At 50.6% G+C, this 17,440-nt stretch overlaps 2 annotated features.

Annotated features, from left to right (window-relative positions):
- Positions 2,035-2,601: an enhancer, noted in NCBI's record as "NANOG-H3K4me1 hESC enhancer chr3:72384094-72384660 (GRCh37/hg19 assembly coordinates)". NCBI's record gives its function as "activates a minimal SCP1, AML or CMV promoter by ChIP-STARR-seq in naive and primed H9 embryonic stem cells {active_cell/tissue: H9 hESC(naive and primed)}" and the evidence as "EXISTENCE:reporter gene assay evidence [ECO:0000049][PMID:30033119]".
- Positions 6,493-6,602: a silencer, noted in NCBI's record as "silent region_14527". NCBI's record gives its function as "represses an Ori minimal core promoter by ATAC-STARR-seq in GM12878 lymphoblastoid cells {active_cell/tissue: GM12878}" and the evidence as "EXISTENCE:reporter gene assay evidence [ECO:0000049][PMID:35858748]".

Consider the following 17,440-nt stretch of genomic DNA (forward strand, 5'->3'; position numbering starts at 1 on the left):
CCCCATTCCTACCCTTACTCATTCTGTGACCTTGGGTAAGTCAGTTCACCTCTCTGAACCTCAGACTCTTCATCTGTAAAATGGGGTGGTGGTGAGGGTTGGGTCTTTGTATTCTGATTATAAACTAATGCCCTTTGACTATTATTATAGAATTGAACTCAGACCCAGCGGGGCACGGTGGCTCACACCTATAATCCCCCACTTTGGGAGGCCGAGGCATGCGGATCGCCTGAGATCAGCCTGGCCAACATGGTGAAACCCCGTCTCTACTAAAAATACAAAAATTAGCTGGGCATGGTGGTACACAGCTGTAATCCCAGCTACTCGGGAGGCTGAGGCAGGAGAATCACTTGAACCCAGGAGCCGGAGGTTGCAGGGAGCCGAGATCATGTCTCTGCACTCCAGCCTGGGTAAGAGCAAAACCCTGTCTCAAAAAAGAAAAAAGAAACTCAGACCCAATCTGTCAGACTCTAAACCCTATATTTAAAGAAATACCGCCACCACCACACACACACGTTTACCTACATACCAATCTAGATGAAGTTATTGGTAAAGGCAGTATCTAACTATCTTTCTAGAAGTTTCCAGAAGTGTCTGAAAATTAATGGGATGGACTCTGAATGCTTTTCCCATAGAAACAGTGTTCCCAGCCTGCAAAAGCTTCTTTAAGCCACCATGTGCCTAACGGCTGGCTCAGAGCCCCACATCAGCCTCACCCCACCACCAGCTAGATCTTCTTATATGAGAAAAGACTGGGTACAAAAGGCAAACTTCACAAGGCCAAGAACACTATAAGCACTAAGTTCAGGGGACTCCAAAGGAGGAGGGAGAAGGGGTGGGCAGGACCTTCTAGACAGCAGTGACTAGTGATGTCCATCTGAGTAACAGAAGGCTCTGGAGGGAAGGAAGGTCTGACTCTGTCACTGCCTAGCTGGGTGACCTTGGGCAAGTTACCTCTCTGAACCTCAATTTCCTAATCCGTGGAATGAGATAACAATACCACCAGCAGCAGGCGGTTGTTGTGGGGATTAGATGGGATAATCTGTGTAAAGGCCTCAGCTCACCACCTATGCCTGGTTAAGTGGTAACTCTTGTTGCCTAAGTCAGTGAAGGATGCGGCAAATCATGTTTTCCAAAATACATAACTTCGGCACTCTTCCACCAGAAGACAGAACTTGGGTTCTCTCCCTGGAATCTGGGCAGGCTTGTGATTACAATGGAAGTGACACTACGCAACTTCCAAGGCCCGGTCACAAAAGATAATGCAACTTCTGCCTGGTTCTCTTGGGATGCTCACTCTTGGGACCCAGCCACCATACTGTGAGGAAGCCCACACAGCCCATGGAGAAAATCCTACACATGGAGAAAATCCAAGGTCCCCAACCCACAGCTCCAGGCTGAGCTCCCAGCCGACCAACAGACCTACTTGCTAGCCGCAGCCACATGAGCGAGCCATCTTGAAATTGTATCCTCCAACCCAGTGGAGCTGCCTCAGCTTCTGTCACATGGGAACTGAGAAAAGCCCTCCTCTCCATGCCCTGCCCAAATTGCAGATTTATGAACAAAATATATGATGTTGTTGTAAGCCACTGAGCTTGGAGGTGGTCTGTTTGCAGCAGTAGATAACTGATTCAGAGAGGATAAGGGGCTGCCCAAGGTCACACAGCCGCTCAGTGGAACCCAGTCTTGAGCCAAAGTCCCCAGCATCCTGGGGTAATTCTCCCTTTCACAATCCCTATTTAACAGACAGAAAAGCAGGGCTCAGAGAAGTTAAGGAAATACACTTAGCTTAGAAGTTAAGGTCACGAAGCAAGTGTTCTGGTTTAATTGTGCTCTTTCTCTCAAAGATGTGTTGAACTCCTAAACTCCAGAACCTCAGAATGTGACCTTATTTGGAGATAGGCTCTTACGGAAGTAATCGAGTTAACATAAAATGATTAGAATGGGCCCTAATCCAATATAACTGGTGTCCTTATACAAAGGGGAAATGGACAGAGACAGACATGCACAGAGGAAGACAGTGAGAAGACACCAGGAGAATGCAATGTACAAGCTAAAGAACGCCTGAGGCTACTAGACGCTAGGGGAGAGGCATTCTGGGAAGGCTTCTTGGAGGAAGTGACGCCTAAGTCCTGAAGGATGCATAGGAGTTAGCTGAGAGATGATGGGAGGGAAGCATATTCTCTGTAGAGGGGGCAGCTTGGGGTTCCGGGAGTCCTGCTGTAAGGACTGAGAAGCTCGCAGGCAGTAGCTGGAATGGTGTGCGTGGCAAAGGCCTGGGCTGGAGCAGTGCCCGGAGGCAGGATGAGGATGGCCTTTGTTAATTCAGCAGGCAGGCCGTTTGGATGTCATCCGAGGGCAGTGGGGAGCCATCTGCCTTTTTCTTCTGAGCCTTGTCACCCCAGCGGGTGTCCTCTAAGAGCATTTCACACTGTGGCCTGGCCCTCCTCCTTGGAGCCTGGAAGTGAGAGAAATGGTGGGTTTGTGCTCAGCAGGAGAGGAGCTGTCTTTGCAAAGCCCCCTCGGGTCTGGGAATTAAGGGCTTCTGCTGCCGACTTCCACCCTGCAGCCCTTCAAAAAGTGTCATCACTGCCAAGTGCAATTCCAAATAAAGAGACGCCTTCGCAGAGCCACCTGCGGGTTGAGGGAAAGCTGGAAGGCTGGGGGGCATCACTGCGAGGCCCTCGAGGGCTGCTCACAGGAATCTCTCCTAGGGGGTGGCCCCAAGCTGGAGTCCTCTCGCCACCAGCCCCAGAGGCACTGGGTGGAATCCTTATGTTGTTACTGTTAATAGAAAGGGTTTCTGGATAAAGACACCCTCCTCCTACCTCCTAAGGAGCCCAGGGCCTGTAGAGATTGTCATTAAGATTGCTGTTATCGACAGCAAGGTCCACATGATGTGGAGATTTGGATGCTGTTCTTCTGCGGCCTCCCCTACGCCCATAAAAGATAGCTTCTCTGTGTTTCCCAAAGCCTTCTCATACATTCCTTTCAGATATGAATTCCTCAGCCAAACCAGAGCTTTGGAAGTGTCCCTGGGGCCTCCCTAGTCTGAGGAGTGCCTCCACCCACCCACCCCAGCTTCTGGAGTGCCTGTGCTTCCACCAACATCCACTCAACTCTTCACCAATGCAAAGTCAATGAATGTTGTCAACAAACATGTCAGGTAACCAGTACAAGATAGAGCAGAAGCTGGGAACCTGGGATAACTGGGGCATGGAAAACACCTCCCCACCCTCCCCAAAGGCCCCAAAGATGCACATGTGGCTTTCAGTACCAGGGCAGGTACCATGCCACCCTATGGGCCTCAGGAAGTCAGCCAGTTCTGGCTCTTCCACTCACTACCTGCAGCTTTGGGCATATTACTCTAACTCCCAGAACCTCAGTTTATTCCTCTGTAAAATGGGTATAGTACGGGCACCGACATCATGGGGCTACTGTGAGGGTGCAGGGTGATAATGTCAACAGAGCACCCAGCGTGGTATTGGGCACTTAGGAGCCCTCGGTGACTGGAAGCTGCAATAGGGCAGGGGGTCATGGAGCCAGGTGAGAGAAGGGGCATGGAAAGAAGCTTCTAGAACCCCCTGTGGCCTGGCCACCAAATTGCCTGGTGGGAACAAATGAGCCCCAAGTCGGCAGTCACAGGAGCTACCAGATGCTGCCCTGAGCCCTCTCCACGTGTTCTTCGTTTCATCATTACCCAGACCCAAGCAGGTGGGCTCTGTTATCCTCTCTATTTTAAAGAAGAGGAAGCTGAGGCTCCTAAACCCCAATTAATGTGCCCAATGTGATCACAAGGCTAGTAAGTGGTGGAGTCCAGGTGCCAGAAAGAGGTCCAGAGAGCACCTCTGCCTAGAGTGTGGCCCGCTCGAGCAGAAAGCAGCCCCAGTCAGCCTGAGATGAACAGCTCTCCCCTCGGGCTTAGAACTCCCAGCTGCTTCTCTGAGCTGGACTCCTGCCAGTGTTCACCCAGGTAACGGAATTGCCTGGGGAGCCCTGCTTGACTCCAGGGAAGCCGGCGGGGGGGGCCCCCAGGCAGAGAAATGAAGTGAGCAAGACACCTCCCGTCCCCAGCCTTCCCCCGCTCATCCCTCTCCTCCAGAGGAGCTGGAAGGAGGAGTTCCTGCAGAAAGAGTCCACACCCAGGAGGACACTGTGCTCGGGCTTATGCCAGGAGGCCGCCCCCTACCCCAGCAAGGGCGGCGACAGGAGGCGGAAACCCTGGGAGCAGAGGGGGAGGGGCCGGCCCAAGGAGTGTCTGAGCGCCTTCTCCCAGGCTGCCTGGAACAGGATGTTCCAAAACGAGGAGGCTAGCCAAGAAGCAGGGCGTGTGTGCGTGTCTGTGTAGCGTATGTGTGTGTGTGCGTGGTGTGCATACGTGCATGTGGTATATGCATGTGTGCATGTGTGGTGTGTGTGCCCTGTGTTGTAAGTGCACGTGCACGTGGGAGGGTGTGGTGTGCGAGGGCTATGTGTGAGTGTGGTGTCTGTGTGTGACGTGTGGCATATGTGATGTATGTGGTGTGTGTGGGTGTGTATATGCATGTGGTATGTGCACATGCACACGGTGTCTGGTGTGTGGCGGGGAGTGTTTGTGTATGTGTGGTGTGTGTGTATGTGTGGTGGGTGTGGGTCTGTATGTGTGTGATGTGTGTGGGTGTGTATGTGTGTATATGTGGTGTGTGGGTGTACGTGTGTGGTGTGTGGGTATGTGTGTGGTATGTGTGGTGGTTTGTGACTGGTGTGTGTATGTGTGTGGTGGGAGTGTTTGTGATTGTGTGGTGTGTGTGTGGGGGGGAGGGACTGGCACTGTGGAACACCAGGACAGGATCTGAGTGTGGGTGGGTTAGGTTCACCTATGTAGAGCAAGGCGGAAGTGACGAGGAAGTGGAGGAGCAAGAGGAGAGGGAGGAAAAGGAAGGGGGAAGCGAGGGAGGCAAAAGGAGGAGGCCAGCGATTGCAGGGGTATCTCATACTCTCACTCTCCCCTACCTGGGGACAGCAGGGGTGTTGGAAAGGGCACTGGGGGTCCCTGCTCTGAGAAAACCCTCATGGGGCATCCAGGTGGTGGACTGGAAAACTGTCCCAAGGGTCTTCTGCCCTCTCTCCATGGCCGTCAGCCCCATGGCCTCTCTGGCTGACAAGTGGGTTCCCCTGAACTCATATGTCAACTTAATTGCCTCCCCCTGCCCCTATCCTTCCTGATGAATAGGAGTAGCTGGCTGACTGGGGACCACTTATTCTGGACATTGCTGAAGAGGGTCAAGGCATGCTTTCGGTTTGATCTAGGGTTTCTGTCAGTGATCGCTAGTGATTCATGTGATACTGTAAGAAGTCAGTCAGGGCCTTGGTGTTGACAAGGTTAGATGATTGATTGACTGACTGACTGACTGACTGACTGACTGACTGATGGTCACTGTGGGTTTCACTGTAGCTGGCTGGCTGTGATCTGGACTGACCAGGCCATGGACTGTGGGAGCTTGTGACTATGACTGGGCCAACTGCAACTGGGCTGATGGATTCAGTGGATTGAACATGACTGGTGAGGAGACAGGTTGACAAGGAGACCAACTCATTGACCACATGCATGATGGACTGACTGGCCAGTTGATGACAATGGGTTTGGTGTATGGTTGACTGGTTGGTTGTTTAATTCAAACTGACTGGATAACTAGGCAGCTTACTATGACTGACTATTGTGACTGCCTGCCTGGCTGACTGAGGGAATAACTGAGTCAGTGTGACTGGCAGGCTGATTCAGACTGACTGGATGTCTGGATGACTATGATCTCCTAACTGATAGCCGTCAGTGATGATCTTGACTGACTGACTAGCCGGCTCTGGGATTGGCTGTCTCTTCCAGACTGACTTGGTAACCGTGGGTCTGACTGTGACCCCTGCGTCTTGACTGACCGCCTTGATTGCATGCCTGACATTTTGAGATCAACTGACTGGCTGGTTGCCTGGTGTTTCATTGTGGCTGTGGCACAGCCTACGGCTACCTGTGACTAACCATGAAACTGACTACACCCAACTCACAGGACAGACCGGGTGGACTGACCACCTGCCTTAGTCATGGAAAACTGACTCTGGCTGACTCAACTGCCAGAGACTGACTGAGATGAACAGGCCAGCCAAGAGACAGCTGGGTGACTCGTGGTGAGTGGCTTTGTCTGACTGGATGGCTGTGACAATGTAACTGAGTCTGGCTGTGAGACAATAACCTGTGGATTGACTGACTTGAATGTGTTGACTGGGTGGCTGAATCTGATTGGCTATGTGGGTGACTGATGACTCCTGGCTGACTGGCTAACCCTGCCTTGACTGACTGATTGATGGGCTGACAGATCGAGTTTGACCAGGCAGCAGGAGACCTGCTGACCACGGCTGTGACTCACTGTGTGAGCGGCCATGTCTGACTGTGTAACACAATCTGACCAAGAGACAATGACTAATTGACTGACCAACTGACTGAGATTGGCTGGGTGTCTGACTGACCAGCTGTGACTGCAACTCCTGATGTGAGTGGGCGTTGACTGGGTGGCCCTGACTCGTATAGGCAAGTCTGGCTGTGAGACAACAGCTAACTCCCTGACTGGCCCAGTGTGCCAACTGGCTGACTGCTTGAGGCTGGCCAACAGACCAGCTGACCGTGCCTGGGACTCACGGTGTGCGTGGCCATGCCTCACTGTGTGGCCCTGGCTGTGTCTCGGAGTCTGACTGTGAGACAAGGGCAGACTGACTGACTTTCCTGGCCAACTGCCTCCAGGTAGCCTGTCAACACAGTCCCTACCCTTCCCAAAACCATTAAAGTGCTGCAGTGGGAGCTGGCCCAGCCTGAGGGGACAGAGCAGCTTCTGTGGAGCAGCAGGGACAGGAAGAGGGAAGCAGGAGCCGCTGGAGGGAGAAGAGGAGTAGGCCCTGCCCAGGAATGGGCCACACGGAAAGTTCTCCACCTCACCCTGGCGGGGGCTGGGTCACAGGCACACGTTCTTGGAGCTGTGTTTTGGCTCTAGTCTTATAGCTCCTTTGTTTGGGGGTGAGGGGGGAGGGGAGCTGGGGGAACCTATAAACATATTGAGCCAATAACTCACCTACAGGACTCCAATTATAGGGCTGGGGGAGAGAGGATAGCTGGGTGGGGGTGGGGCGGGCCACGGGCAGCCATTTATGGGGCTTGGATTGGGGCCAAACGCTGCCCTAGAAAATCCAGGTCTTGGAATGCAGGGCTGGAGAAGTCTTAGGAAGGAGCAATGTGTCTGTCAGTCACACCTCTGTTACCGCCACCATTTTATAGCTGGGGAAACAGAGGCCCACAGCCCTCAAGAGCCCAGGGCATTTCCCACACCCGGCCCCCCCTGGGGCTGTCCCCCAGAGCCCGGGCAGGTGGTGAGCCTCAGCCCTCCCTTACTCTCCCGCAAGATGCTGGGCAGCAGAATTTGGGGGGCAGGGTCGATGACCTTGGGCAAGTTACTCCATCTCTCTGAGCCTCAGTTGCTTCATCAGTTAAACAGCTGTTTCTGATAGAAGCCACTTGGCAGAACTCGGATTGGGTGCCCAGATGCCTCTGCCACCACCTGTGTGGTCTCCAGCAGGGAGCTTTGCATTTTGCGCCTCGGTGTCCCCATTCACAAATGGGAACGGGCTCAAGAAAGGCACTTACTTCATAAGCTTGTCATGAGGAGGAAAAACACAATCCACATGAAGACTTCAGCTCGGTGCCTGGCACCTAGTAAACAACCCAGAAATGTGAACCTGCACAATGATTAATCCTCATCTCTTGGGAGGCATTAGGATTAATCAAGATCTTTGACGCGCATGTACTTGGGAAGCCATGACGTTCAGCCCCAAAGTGTTGGGAGGCACAGGGGCACAGCCTGGTAATGGTGCCACCGATGAGCCCAGCTGGGCCCTCCGCAGCCACCCTGAAATGCCACCTGCTTCCCCAAAGGATCTTACAGACCCTCTGGGAGGCACCAGCTGCTCCTGATACCACAGCCACTGGGGCCTGGTCCCCAGGGACAGGGAGGTGAAAACAGGAGGAAATTTTCTGGGGTTCCCCCAGGTAAGAGCCAAGGGCCCAGGTGTCACACATAGGCCTTGGTGGGGACAGGAGCCTCTTCCAGGAACGCCCAGAGTCTCAGGCCCTCCAGAAGCTGAAGAAAAAGCCAGACTCTTCTCTGAAGCTGAGAAGAGTAAGGGCAGCCAGAAAGGCAGAATTTCCCCAGGAGGCTGAGAACCTGGGTGTGGGCCCAGGAAAATCCCTCCCACGGTAACACTGCTGTCCTGTTCTCAGAGGGCTGCTGGGGAGGTGAGCTCATTTGACCTTCACAGCCACTTATAACTGTAAATTACAACACGCCAGGTAATAAAGCATCCCCAAGGTCATAGCCAAGGAACTTCAGGGCCACCTCCTGATGCATTCCTTCCTCATTCATTCCTTCAGCAAGTTTTTATGAGCATTTCTTCTGTTGAACCAGGCAGAAACAACAGTGATGAGGGCCCGGTCTCTGGCTCTAGAGGTGTGTAGTCGGGAGGACAGCACAGCAGAGGCTTAAGACCTCAGATTCAGGAGCCAGGCAGACCCACTCTTGAATCCCAGCTCACATGTTTACTAGATCTGCAACCATGGGCCAGTGGCTTTTCTCCTCCGAGCCTCAATTTTCCTATCTGTAAAATGGGAATAGTTATGGCACCAATCTTACTGGGTCATGGTGAGGATTTAACAAAATATTCAATAAATGCTTAGAAAATATGTTCCAGGGAGCTGTGAGTGTGTCCCTTCTGCCCCATAATTCCTTCCTCATCTGTAAAGTGGGCATACGGCCCTACCCTACGGGGTCACTGTGAAGAATGAATGAGCACTTAGCACTGTTGCTACCACCTCACACAGCTCTAGTGGGTGCTGTTCACACCAGGGTTGATCAGTCATGGCCTGTGCAGCTCTTCACAGTGGCCCTGTCTGGCAAACAGTAAGGGCCCCATAAACGGTGAGCTATTTGTCTTACTCTTAGAGGGGAATGCAAAGTAGAAAACAAGTATTTAAATGCTAAGAGTGTGCAAGGGCTCAGTTAGGGTATAAATCCAGAAGCAGGAGCTCCACTTACTTGGTTAGGGTGATGAGGAAGGGAAAGAAAGGGTCAGAGCCATCTGGGGCTTAGCCAAAGGATGGATGGGGCCAGATGGGGGAGCTCCTGGCAGAAGGGAGGGCCTGTGCAGAGGCCTGGAGGCAGGAGAGAGTGGAGCCTCCAGGGGTACCTCGGACCTGCCAGAGGGGCTGGAGCTGGACTCCCAGGGGTAGCCTGGTTCTCAGGCCATCTCCAAGCCAGCTCTCCCTCCTCAGGCAGAGCTGCCAGGCTTCCTGTCCCCTAATTCTACAGGGCCTCAGTCAGGGACTCTCACGGTCCTGTTTCACAAAAGAAGAAAGGCATTCTTGGACTAGTTTCCTATTGCTGCTGGAACAAGTTGCCACAAACTCGATGGCTTAAAACAGATTGATTCTCTTAGAGTTATGGAGGTCTGAAGTCTAGCATCAGCGTGACAGCAGGTCTGCATTCCGAAGGTCTTCCTTCTGAAGGCCTCAGGGGAGAAACCATCCCCTTTGTCTCTTCCAACTTCTGGAGGCTGCCTGTGTTCCCAGGCTCATGGTCCCTTCCTCGGATCCCTCCAACCTCTTGCTTCCCTTGTCACATTGCCTTCTGTCCCTCCAGTCTCCTGCCTCCTTCTTAGAAGGACCTTCGTGATCCCCCCTGGACGATCGTCTCTTCTCAAGATCCTGAGCTTAATCACATCTGCAAAGTGCCCCCTGCCTCAGGGCCTTTGTGTGTGCTGTTCCCTCCACCCGAAATGCTTTTCCCCGAGACATACACATGGCTCATTTCTTCGCCTCCGTCAGGGAGCTGCTCATATGAAACCCCTCGCCCCATGCTTGACTTTTCTCCATCCACTCATCACGAACTGGTGTATTAGAAATTGATGTTTTTATTTATTTTCTGTCTCCCCACAGGTATATTATAAACTGCAGAAAGACTGGGACTTTATCTATCTTGTTGACTACAGCCTCCTCAGCACCTAAATCAGTATCTAGTATCTAGCAAGAACTCAAAATAAATAATGAGTGAACAAATGGGGCTACTGAAACTCAGAGAGGGGATGTGACTTGTCCAAGGTCACAAATTATAAAGTGGCAAAACCAGGGATTTGAACCCAGGTAGGCCTGACTCCAAAGCCTTAATGGTTTGGCTCAATGACGCCTGTCAGCCTCTTAAAATTTACTTATGTGGGTACCAGGCCTTCAGGCCCTTCCCTCTGCCTTCTCCTGGTGGAGGATGTGGGCTCCTCTGTGACTCACACTAAGAAATAACACTGAGAGAAATCGTAATAGTTTCTCTTGGCCCAGAGCATTAGATTTTACAAGAGACTGAGGGCACTGCGAGAGCAGAGAGCCCACCTGTTTCACTTGGCATTGTCTAATCAGTACTAGACACATAGTTGGCACATAGTTGGTGCTCATGAAATCTTTGTTAATAAATGATGAATGACTCTCACTTGATTGCACAGAGAAGATCTGCTCTATATGTATCTATTCACCTATTCATCTATCATATGTCTAGCCATCCATCCATCCATCTTCTATCTCTCTGTCTGTCTATCCATTCTTCTGCCCATCCATCCATCCATCCACCCACCCATCTATCTATCTTATCTGTCTGTTTCTATTTTGTAGCAGTTCCTAGACTCACAACGTTTACCCAACCGTGGGATATTCAACTGGAAGAACACAGAATTCTGAACAAGGTTCCCCTTCTTCCCAAACTGTACCATGGAGGTCTTTGCTCTGGGAGAGCAGGCTTAGGAGACAGTGAACTTTAGGAACCCCCATTTTTCTACTCGAAAGTCCTAGCCTCATTCCCTGCTTCTGTGCCCATCCCTCTTGCCTCTGTCCCTCTTGGTTTTGTGATCGGTCCCACCCAGAAATGCCTTAGGACTAGGCCTCTCCCACCTCCCCTGATGCACCTGGTCTCAGAGGTCAGGGAACATAACAGTGACCCTGAGGACACAGAGGTGAGGAAAAGGCCCCAGGTTACCCTTCCTGCCTTTCAGCCTGAGCTGTGCCCTCTAAATCAGCCAGAACATGTAGACAAATGTGGTCTCTTAGACTCCCCCATACACCTACCCACATTTTCCCCACCCACGTCTCTCTTCTGTACCTACCTCTTCCTTCCCCAGGTGAGATTTTTGAGAAAAACTGAACCTTATCCTTCTCTATAGTTTCCTTCCTACCAAGTTACTGGAAAGAGAAGTCTTGAAACCCCCCCGTGTTGGGAGAGGAAAAAAAGCAAGAAGAAGGTGTAAACAAAGATTAATTAAACCTCATATGCAACCCAGAGGAACAGCCTAGGGCAGCTGCTGCAGCTGGAAAGATATTCCCCAAAGGGGGACAGGATGACAGGAGGGCCACTTGGGCTGGCAGACAGGATGTGGCAGACGCTACATTGAAGAATAAAGTTTCAGGACAAATCTTGCCTTTGAGCAAGATTTGAGGAAGATATGTTGGCACACCCAAGGAGGAAGCTCTAATTCATGTCACTGTAGGATTCATTCAACTCCATACACAGACATTCCAACCCACCACTGAAGTACTACAATGACCAGCATTGGTGAACTATACTCACTCCAAGTCTTTGCTTTATAATTGTGATGATCATCCCAGCTGGATGTAATAATAATTAGTGCAGCCACTAGTGTTGTTATGGCCACTGAGAGTCGACCACCTACTACGGGCCAGGGCTCCGCGCTCAGAACTTTATTTCTATTAACACTCAGAAATTTCACAACATCTCTATGAGGTAAGATGTGCCTGTTCTACAGATGAGAAAACTGAGGCACAGAGTTAAGTCACTTGCCCTGGACCACAAGACTCTTCTCATTTCCACTTTACAACAGAGGTCAGCAAAGCACAGCCCCGCAGGCCAGGCCAGCCACTGCCTGTTTTTATAAAGTTTTATTGGCACACAGCCATGCCTGGTTGCTCATGTATTACCTCTGGCTGCTTTGGGGCTACAACAGCAGAGTAGTTACCGCAGAGACTATATGGCCCCCAAAGCCAAAAATATTTTCTTTCTTTCTTTTTTAATTGAGACAAGGTCTGGCTCTATCACTCAGGCTGGAGTGCAGTGGCATGATCTCAGCTCACTGCAACCTTCGCTTCCAAGGCTCAAGCCATCCTCCCACCTTAGCCTCCTGAGCAGCTGGGACTACAGGCACTCACCACCACGTCTGGCTTATTTTTGTATTTTTTTAGAGACAAAAAATGCAGGTTGCCCAGGCTAGTCTCAAACTCGTGAGCTCAAGTGATCCACCCGCCTTGGCCTCCCAAAGTGCGGGTATTACAGGCATGATCCACAGTGCCCGGCCAAAAGCCAAAAATATTTTCCATCTGCACCTTTAGAGAGAAAGGTTTCTGACCACTGCCCTAGAATTTATTCTCTGCCGGTCCCCAAAGGGATCTTTAAAAATGCTGACTCAAGTCATGGCACAACGTGTTTAAAATCTTTTGAATAAAATCCAAATTCCTTCCCACAGCCCAGGAGGCCAGTAGGATTCAGTACCTCTCCCACTCTCACCCCCACTGAGTACATTCCAGCACTGGACATTTTTCCATTTATGAGCTGGGCTCTTTCTAACCTCAGGGCCTTTGTGCATGCTGCTCCCTCTGTCTGGAATGCTTTTCCTCCAGCTCTAGGTCTCAGCTCAAATACCACTTCCTCTGAGAGGCTTTGCCTGACACTCTCCATCCCCACACCCAGTCTATTTCCTTTCTAGCAGTGATCACAGTTTTTGTCATTGTTTTATCTGTCTAATCTCTCTGGGCTGCAAGCTCCTGGCGCTGTGTTCCTGCTGCTCTATCACATAGTAGGTGATCTATGAATATCTGCCAAGTGAATGCAGCACTGGCATCCAGGCTATGGGACTCCCAAGTCACATGCCTGATGCAGACCCTCCTCTCCTCTCTTTCTTCCCCGCACTGCATTCAGAAAGCAATATTCATCAAAGTCTACGGAGGAACTAGATAACTCCAAAGAGGTGGATAAGCAGGCCTCCGCCCTCAACAAATTCCCTGAGGACCAAATCCTCCCAGTTCAGCCCCTTTCCTCCTTCTTCAGAAATGGATGACCAGAGCAAACAGGCCCCCACAATGGCTGCCTGGGAGCAAGCCGCTTCCCCAGAAAGACTCTTGCTGCTCCACACCCGGGCCCCGTCAAAGATGCCCCCAGTCCTCATCCCCCAAGGGGCCTCAGGACATAGCGAGGCTTCCCTGGAGAGGGCAGCACTGCAGAACAGGGATTGGTGCCGAATAGGGACCAGATCCAGGTATAGTGGGTTGAACGGTGGCCACCAAAAAGACATGTGTAAGTCCTAACCCCTGAAGCCTGTGAATGTGACCTGATTACATTTGAAAAAAGGTATTTGCAGATGTAATTAAATTAAGGATCTCAAGATGAGATCATCTTAGATTACCTGTGTGGGTCTTAAATCCAATGACAAGCATCCTTTTAAGAAAGGGAAGAGGTGAAGATACCAACACAGAGGAGAAGGCCATGTGAAAACAGAGGCAGATATATTGGAGTGATGGGGCCACAGCCATGGAAAGCCTGGAGCCAGAATCTGGAAGAGGCTGGGAAGCATTCTCCCCCAGCGCCTTCGAAGGGAGCGTGGCCCTGCTGACAACTTGGTCAGACTTCCGGCCTCCAGAACTGTAAAAGAATACTTTTCTGTTGTTGTAAGCCACCAGTTTGTAGTTAATTTGTTATGACAGCTACAGGAAACGAATACACAGGGGAAGAGCGAACTCACCTCTTGCTTCAGCCCATGAAGAGCATGCTTCTGAGAACCACAGAATTTTCTGCTGGAAGGAACAGCAGAGCTGAGTCACCCGACATTGCCTAAATCCCAGCATCCCGGCCCCACCTGACTGCTGTTTCTACTTCCACTCACCACCCTGCTGCTCTTCCCTTAGCATTTGCCTTCTAACTGACTTAACTTTTTCTTACTCAAATGTATTTACAGGCTGGGAGCCATGGTTCATGTCTGTAATCCCAGCATTTTAGGAGGCCGAGATGAGCGGATCACTTGAGGCCAGGAGTTTGAGACCAGCCTGGCCAACATAGTGAAACGCAGCCTCTACTAAAATTAAAAAAATTAGCCTGGTGTGGGGGCTATGAATATTTGTTGAGTGTAATCCCTGCTACTCAGGAGGCTGAGGCACGAGAATCACTTGAACCCAGGAGGCTGAGGTTGCAGTGAGCCAAGGTCGCGCCACTACACTCCAGCCTGAGCAACAGAGCGAGACTCTATGTCAAAAAAAAAAGCCATATAAAATATTTACAAATAGAACTTTATGTCACTTATCAGAGGGAGAAGCAGCACCGCATGCATTCATTCACTCCATCCTCTTATTCTGTCAACGAAACATTTATGAAGCACTGACTGTGAATGGGGCAGTATTTAAGGCTCTGGAAACACAGTAGGGATGAAGCAGACAAAAAAACCCCGTCCTTGTGGAGCTTGCATTCTCGTGCAGAAGGGGCTGGGAATAGCTGCTGACTTGTCTATAGCTATGAAGATTAAAAATATTCCTTGGGGCCAGTCATGATGGCTCATGCCTGTAATCCCAGCACTTTGGGAGGTCAAGGTGGGAGGGTCACTTGAACCTAGGAGGTCAAGGCTGCAGTGAGCCATGTTCATGCCACTGCACTCCAGCCTGGCAACAGAGCAAGACCCTGTCTCCAAAAAAAAAAAAATTTCCTTGGTTGGTATGTCCCCTGATTGTGACCCCCACGTGGGGCAGTGCTCCCAGGGAGGGAGTTGAGGGCAGAAGCAGCATGGAGGCAAAGGCCAGGGTTTGAATTCTGGGCGTGCCACTTGCTGCTCTGTGCCCTGGGAACCTGAGATTTCCCTCCAAGAAAGCTGAAGGAGTCTCTAGGGCCCCCGGTCTCCTGCCACTAAGGGCCTGCAGTTCTGTGAAGGGGAAAAGCTCCTCCGCCAGGGGCAGGGCGGGGCCGGTCTGCAGGGCGAGCACAGCCGCATTCCAAGGTACAGAGCTGCTGGGCCCAGAGGTGGCCTGGAGAGAAGGCGAGAGCTGGCGAGAGGGACGTTCTGGGAGAGAAGGCGCAGCCTGCCAGAGCTCGGAGCCCGTGCCAACCCCGGCCTCCTGTGAGCAACAGGAAGGGGAGGTCGCGTGACTTGTGGGATCTGTGGGCAAAGAAACTGTGAGGCTGGACTTTCGCCCAGGGCAGACAGGAAGCCTGCTTCTGAATCCTCGAGTTAGCATACGCATCAGCCATTCACCAGACCCAGACAACCCGTTTTATATGGTTTACCCTCACAACCACCTCAAAGGCAGCATGACTATTCCCATTTGACAGATGCGGAGATCAAGACTCCTCAAGGGCACACAGCTCTAAGTGGCAGGGCCAGGATTTGAACCCAAGTCTGATCTCAACCATCTTACTTACCTTTGCCTCTATTTCTGAATTAGTAAGGTGTTGTTTGGTTGCAAGGGACAAATATCCAATTCAAACTGGCTTATCCCCAACCCCTACCCCAAAAAGAAATTTGTTGTAGTTTAGGGCTTTCAGGCACAGCTGGATCCAGATGCTCAATGTTCTCTCAATGTTGCCTCATCCTTTGGCCCTGTTTGCCTCTGTGTGAGCTTCACTTTATGGTATGAGAGGTACCAAATATGGCTACCAGAGGCTCCCAGCTTATATACTAGAAGCTTCACAGACTCACCAGAAATGTGAATCCCTGTTCTAATAGCCCTAGTATAAGTCACTGGCCCAGTTTGGGTGAGATGACCAGCCCAGAGACAGTCATATGGACAAGGATTTGCAGCAGTATTTCCATTGGCCAGGAATGGATCAGGTGTCCACCCCTGACGTTGGCAGGCCAGGGCAGTAACCTCTCACCCTCAAATCACAGGGACCGAGAATGAGGAGAGGTGATTCTCTAAGAGGAGATTGGGAATTACCAGCTGAATGGAGGCTTCACAAGCAGAACTGGTGGACATCCCCTACAGCCTCTCTGTGTTTCTCCCTTTAGTCTTTAGTAAAGTTTTTTTCTTTTTTTCTTTTTTTTGTTTTGTTTTGTTTTGGGAAAATTTCCAACCTCATTCTCATGGAAAGAAGAGGCAAAAGTTTTTAAGGCAAGGTGGTCTTGCAGTAAGCTGCCATTGTGTGGAGATGGGACTGCAGAGGAAGTGGGTTGTGCATCTGCTTTGTACAGTGATGGAATGCTTGGCTTCTTTTGGCCAACAGAATGTAAGTGAATGTGAGGTGAGCAGAGGTTTTAAATGTGCTTGCTGGTTTGGCTGGGTCTTTTGTACTTCTGCCATTCCCCATAAGACATCCTCTGTGAAACCTCTGATTCCAGAATGAAGCACATGGAACATTCCTGATCCTAACCCAAAGCCTAGAGCAGATCTACCCCCAGATGACCCACAGACCCAAGAGCAAGACAAAGAAAGAGTGTTGGTTGTGAGCCCCTGAGATTTTGTGGGGGTGCTTGTCATGCAGCATATCACAGTGCAAAATCTGACTAACACACTTTGAAAGTCTAGGGGTTCTTCCATTGAGGGAGGCCACTACTCTTGGAAGTAAACAGTCTGTCAGGAAGTGGGTCCTCTGAGCCGTGGCCACTCTATATTCTTCCCAAGATGCCCTAGGAACACAGAAGGGCTCAACCACCATATTTCAACCCCCACCCAGCAGAGTCTCCAGAAGGAATTTCAGCATCTTTTCTGGAGCAATCTGCCCTACCCTGCATCCTGAGTCTCCCGGGATCTTTACCAGCTGCGTGGCCATAAGCAAGTTAATTGCCCTCTTTCAGCCTTAGTTTCTTCACCTGTAAAAGGGAATGATACTAATCCTTAGCTTTTGGAGGAACTAATGGACAGAATGCATGTAAAACACACATTTATAGCACCTGGCACATGATAAATAGTTCAAAAAATGTTAGGTTTATAATTATTTGTTTTTGAAATTGCTGGAAGAGCAAAAATGCATTTGACTGTTCAGTCTGCTCCTCTAAGCCTTGGGAACACCATGCAATTGGTGTGTCTGTTCTCCGGAGCAGACAAACCCCCGGGTGCCTAAACTCAGAAGAGGCATTTGGGCCACTGAAGAAGCAAATTTTGATTGGTTTTGTTTTGGTTTGTTGGGGTTTTTTTCTCCCTCAATTTTTGGCTTCTGTTTTAGTTACTTGAAATCACACAGCCGATTTATTTATTTTGATTGCTCTTCACACAAGTAAAAATAAAACAAAGAAGTGCGAACAGTGACAGCCTTTGCTACAACTTTACTCAGGACAAAGAACCGTGGCTAGAAGAAAAGTCACAATTCCATTAAGTGGGAAAACACTGAACTCTCACGCTTCGTTT

The sequence above is a fragment of the Homo sapiens genome, chromosome 3 (assembly GCF_000001405.40).
Source record: "Homo sapiens chromosome 3, GRCh38.p14 Primary Assembly".
NCBI classification, from domain to species: Eukaryota; Metazoa; Chordata; class Mammalia; order Primates; family Hominidae; genus Homo; species Homo sapiens.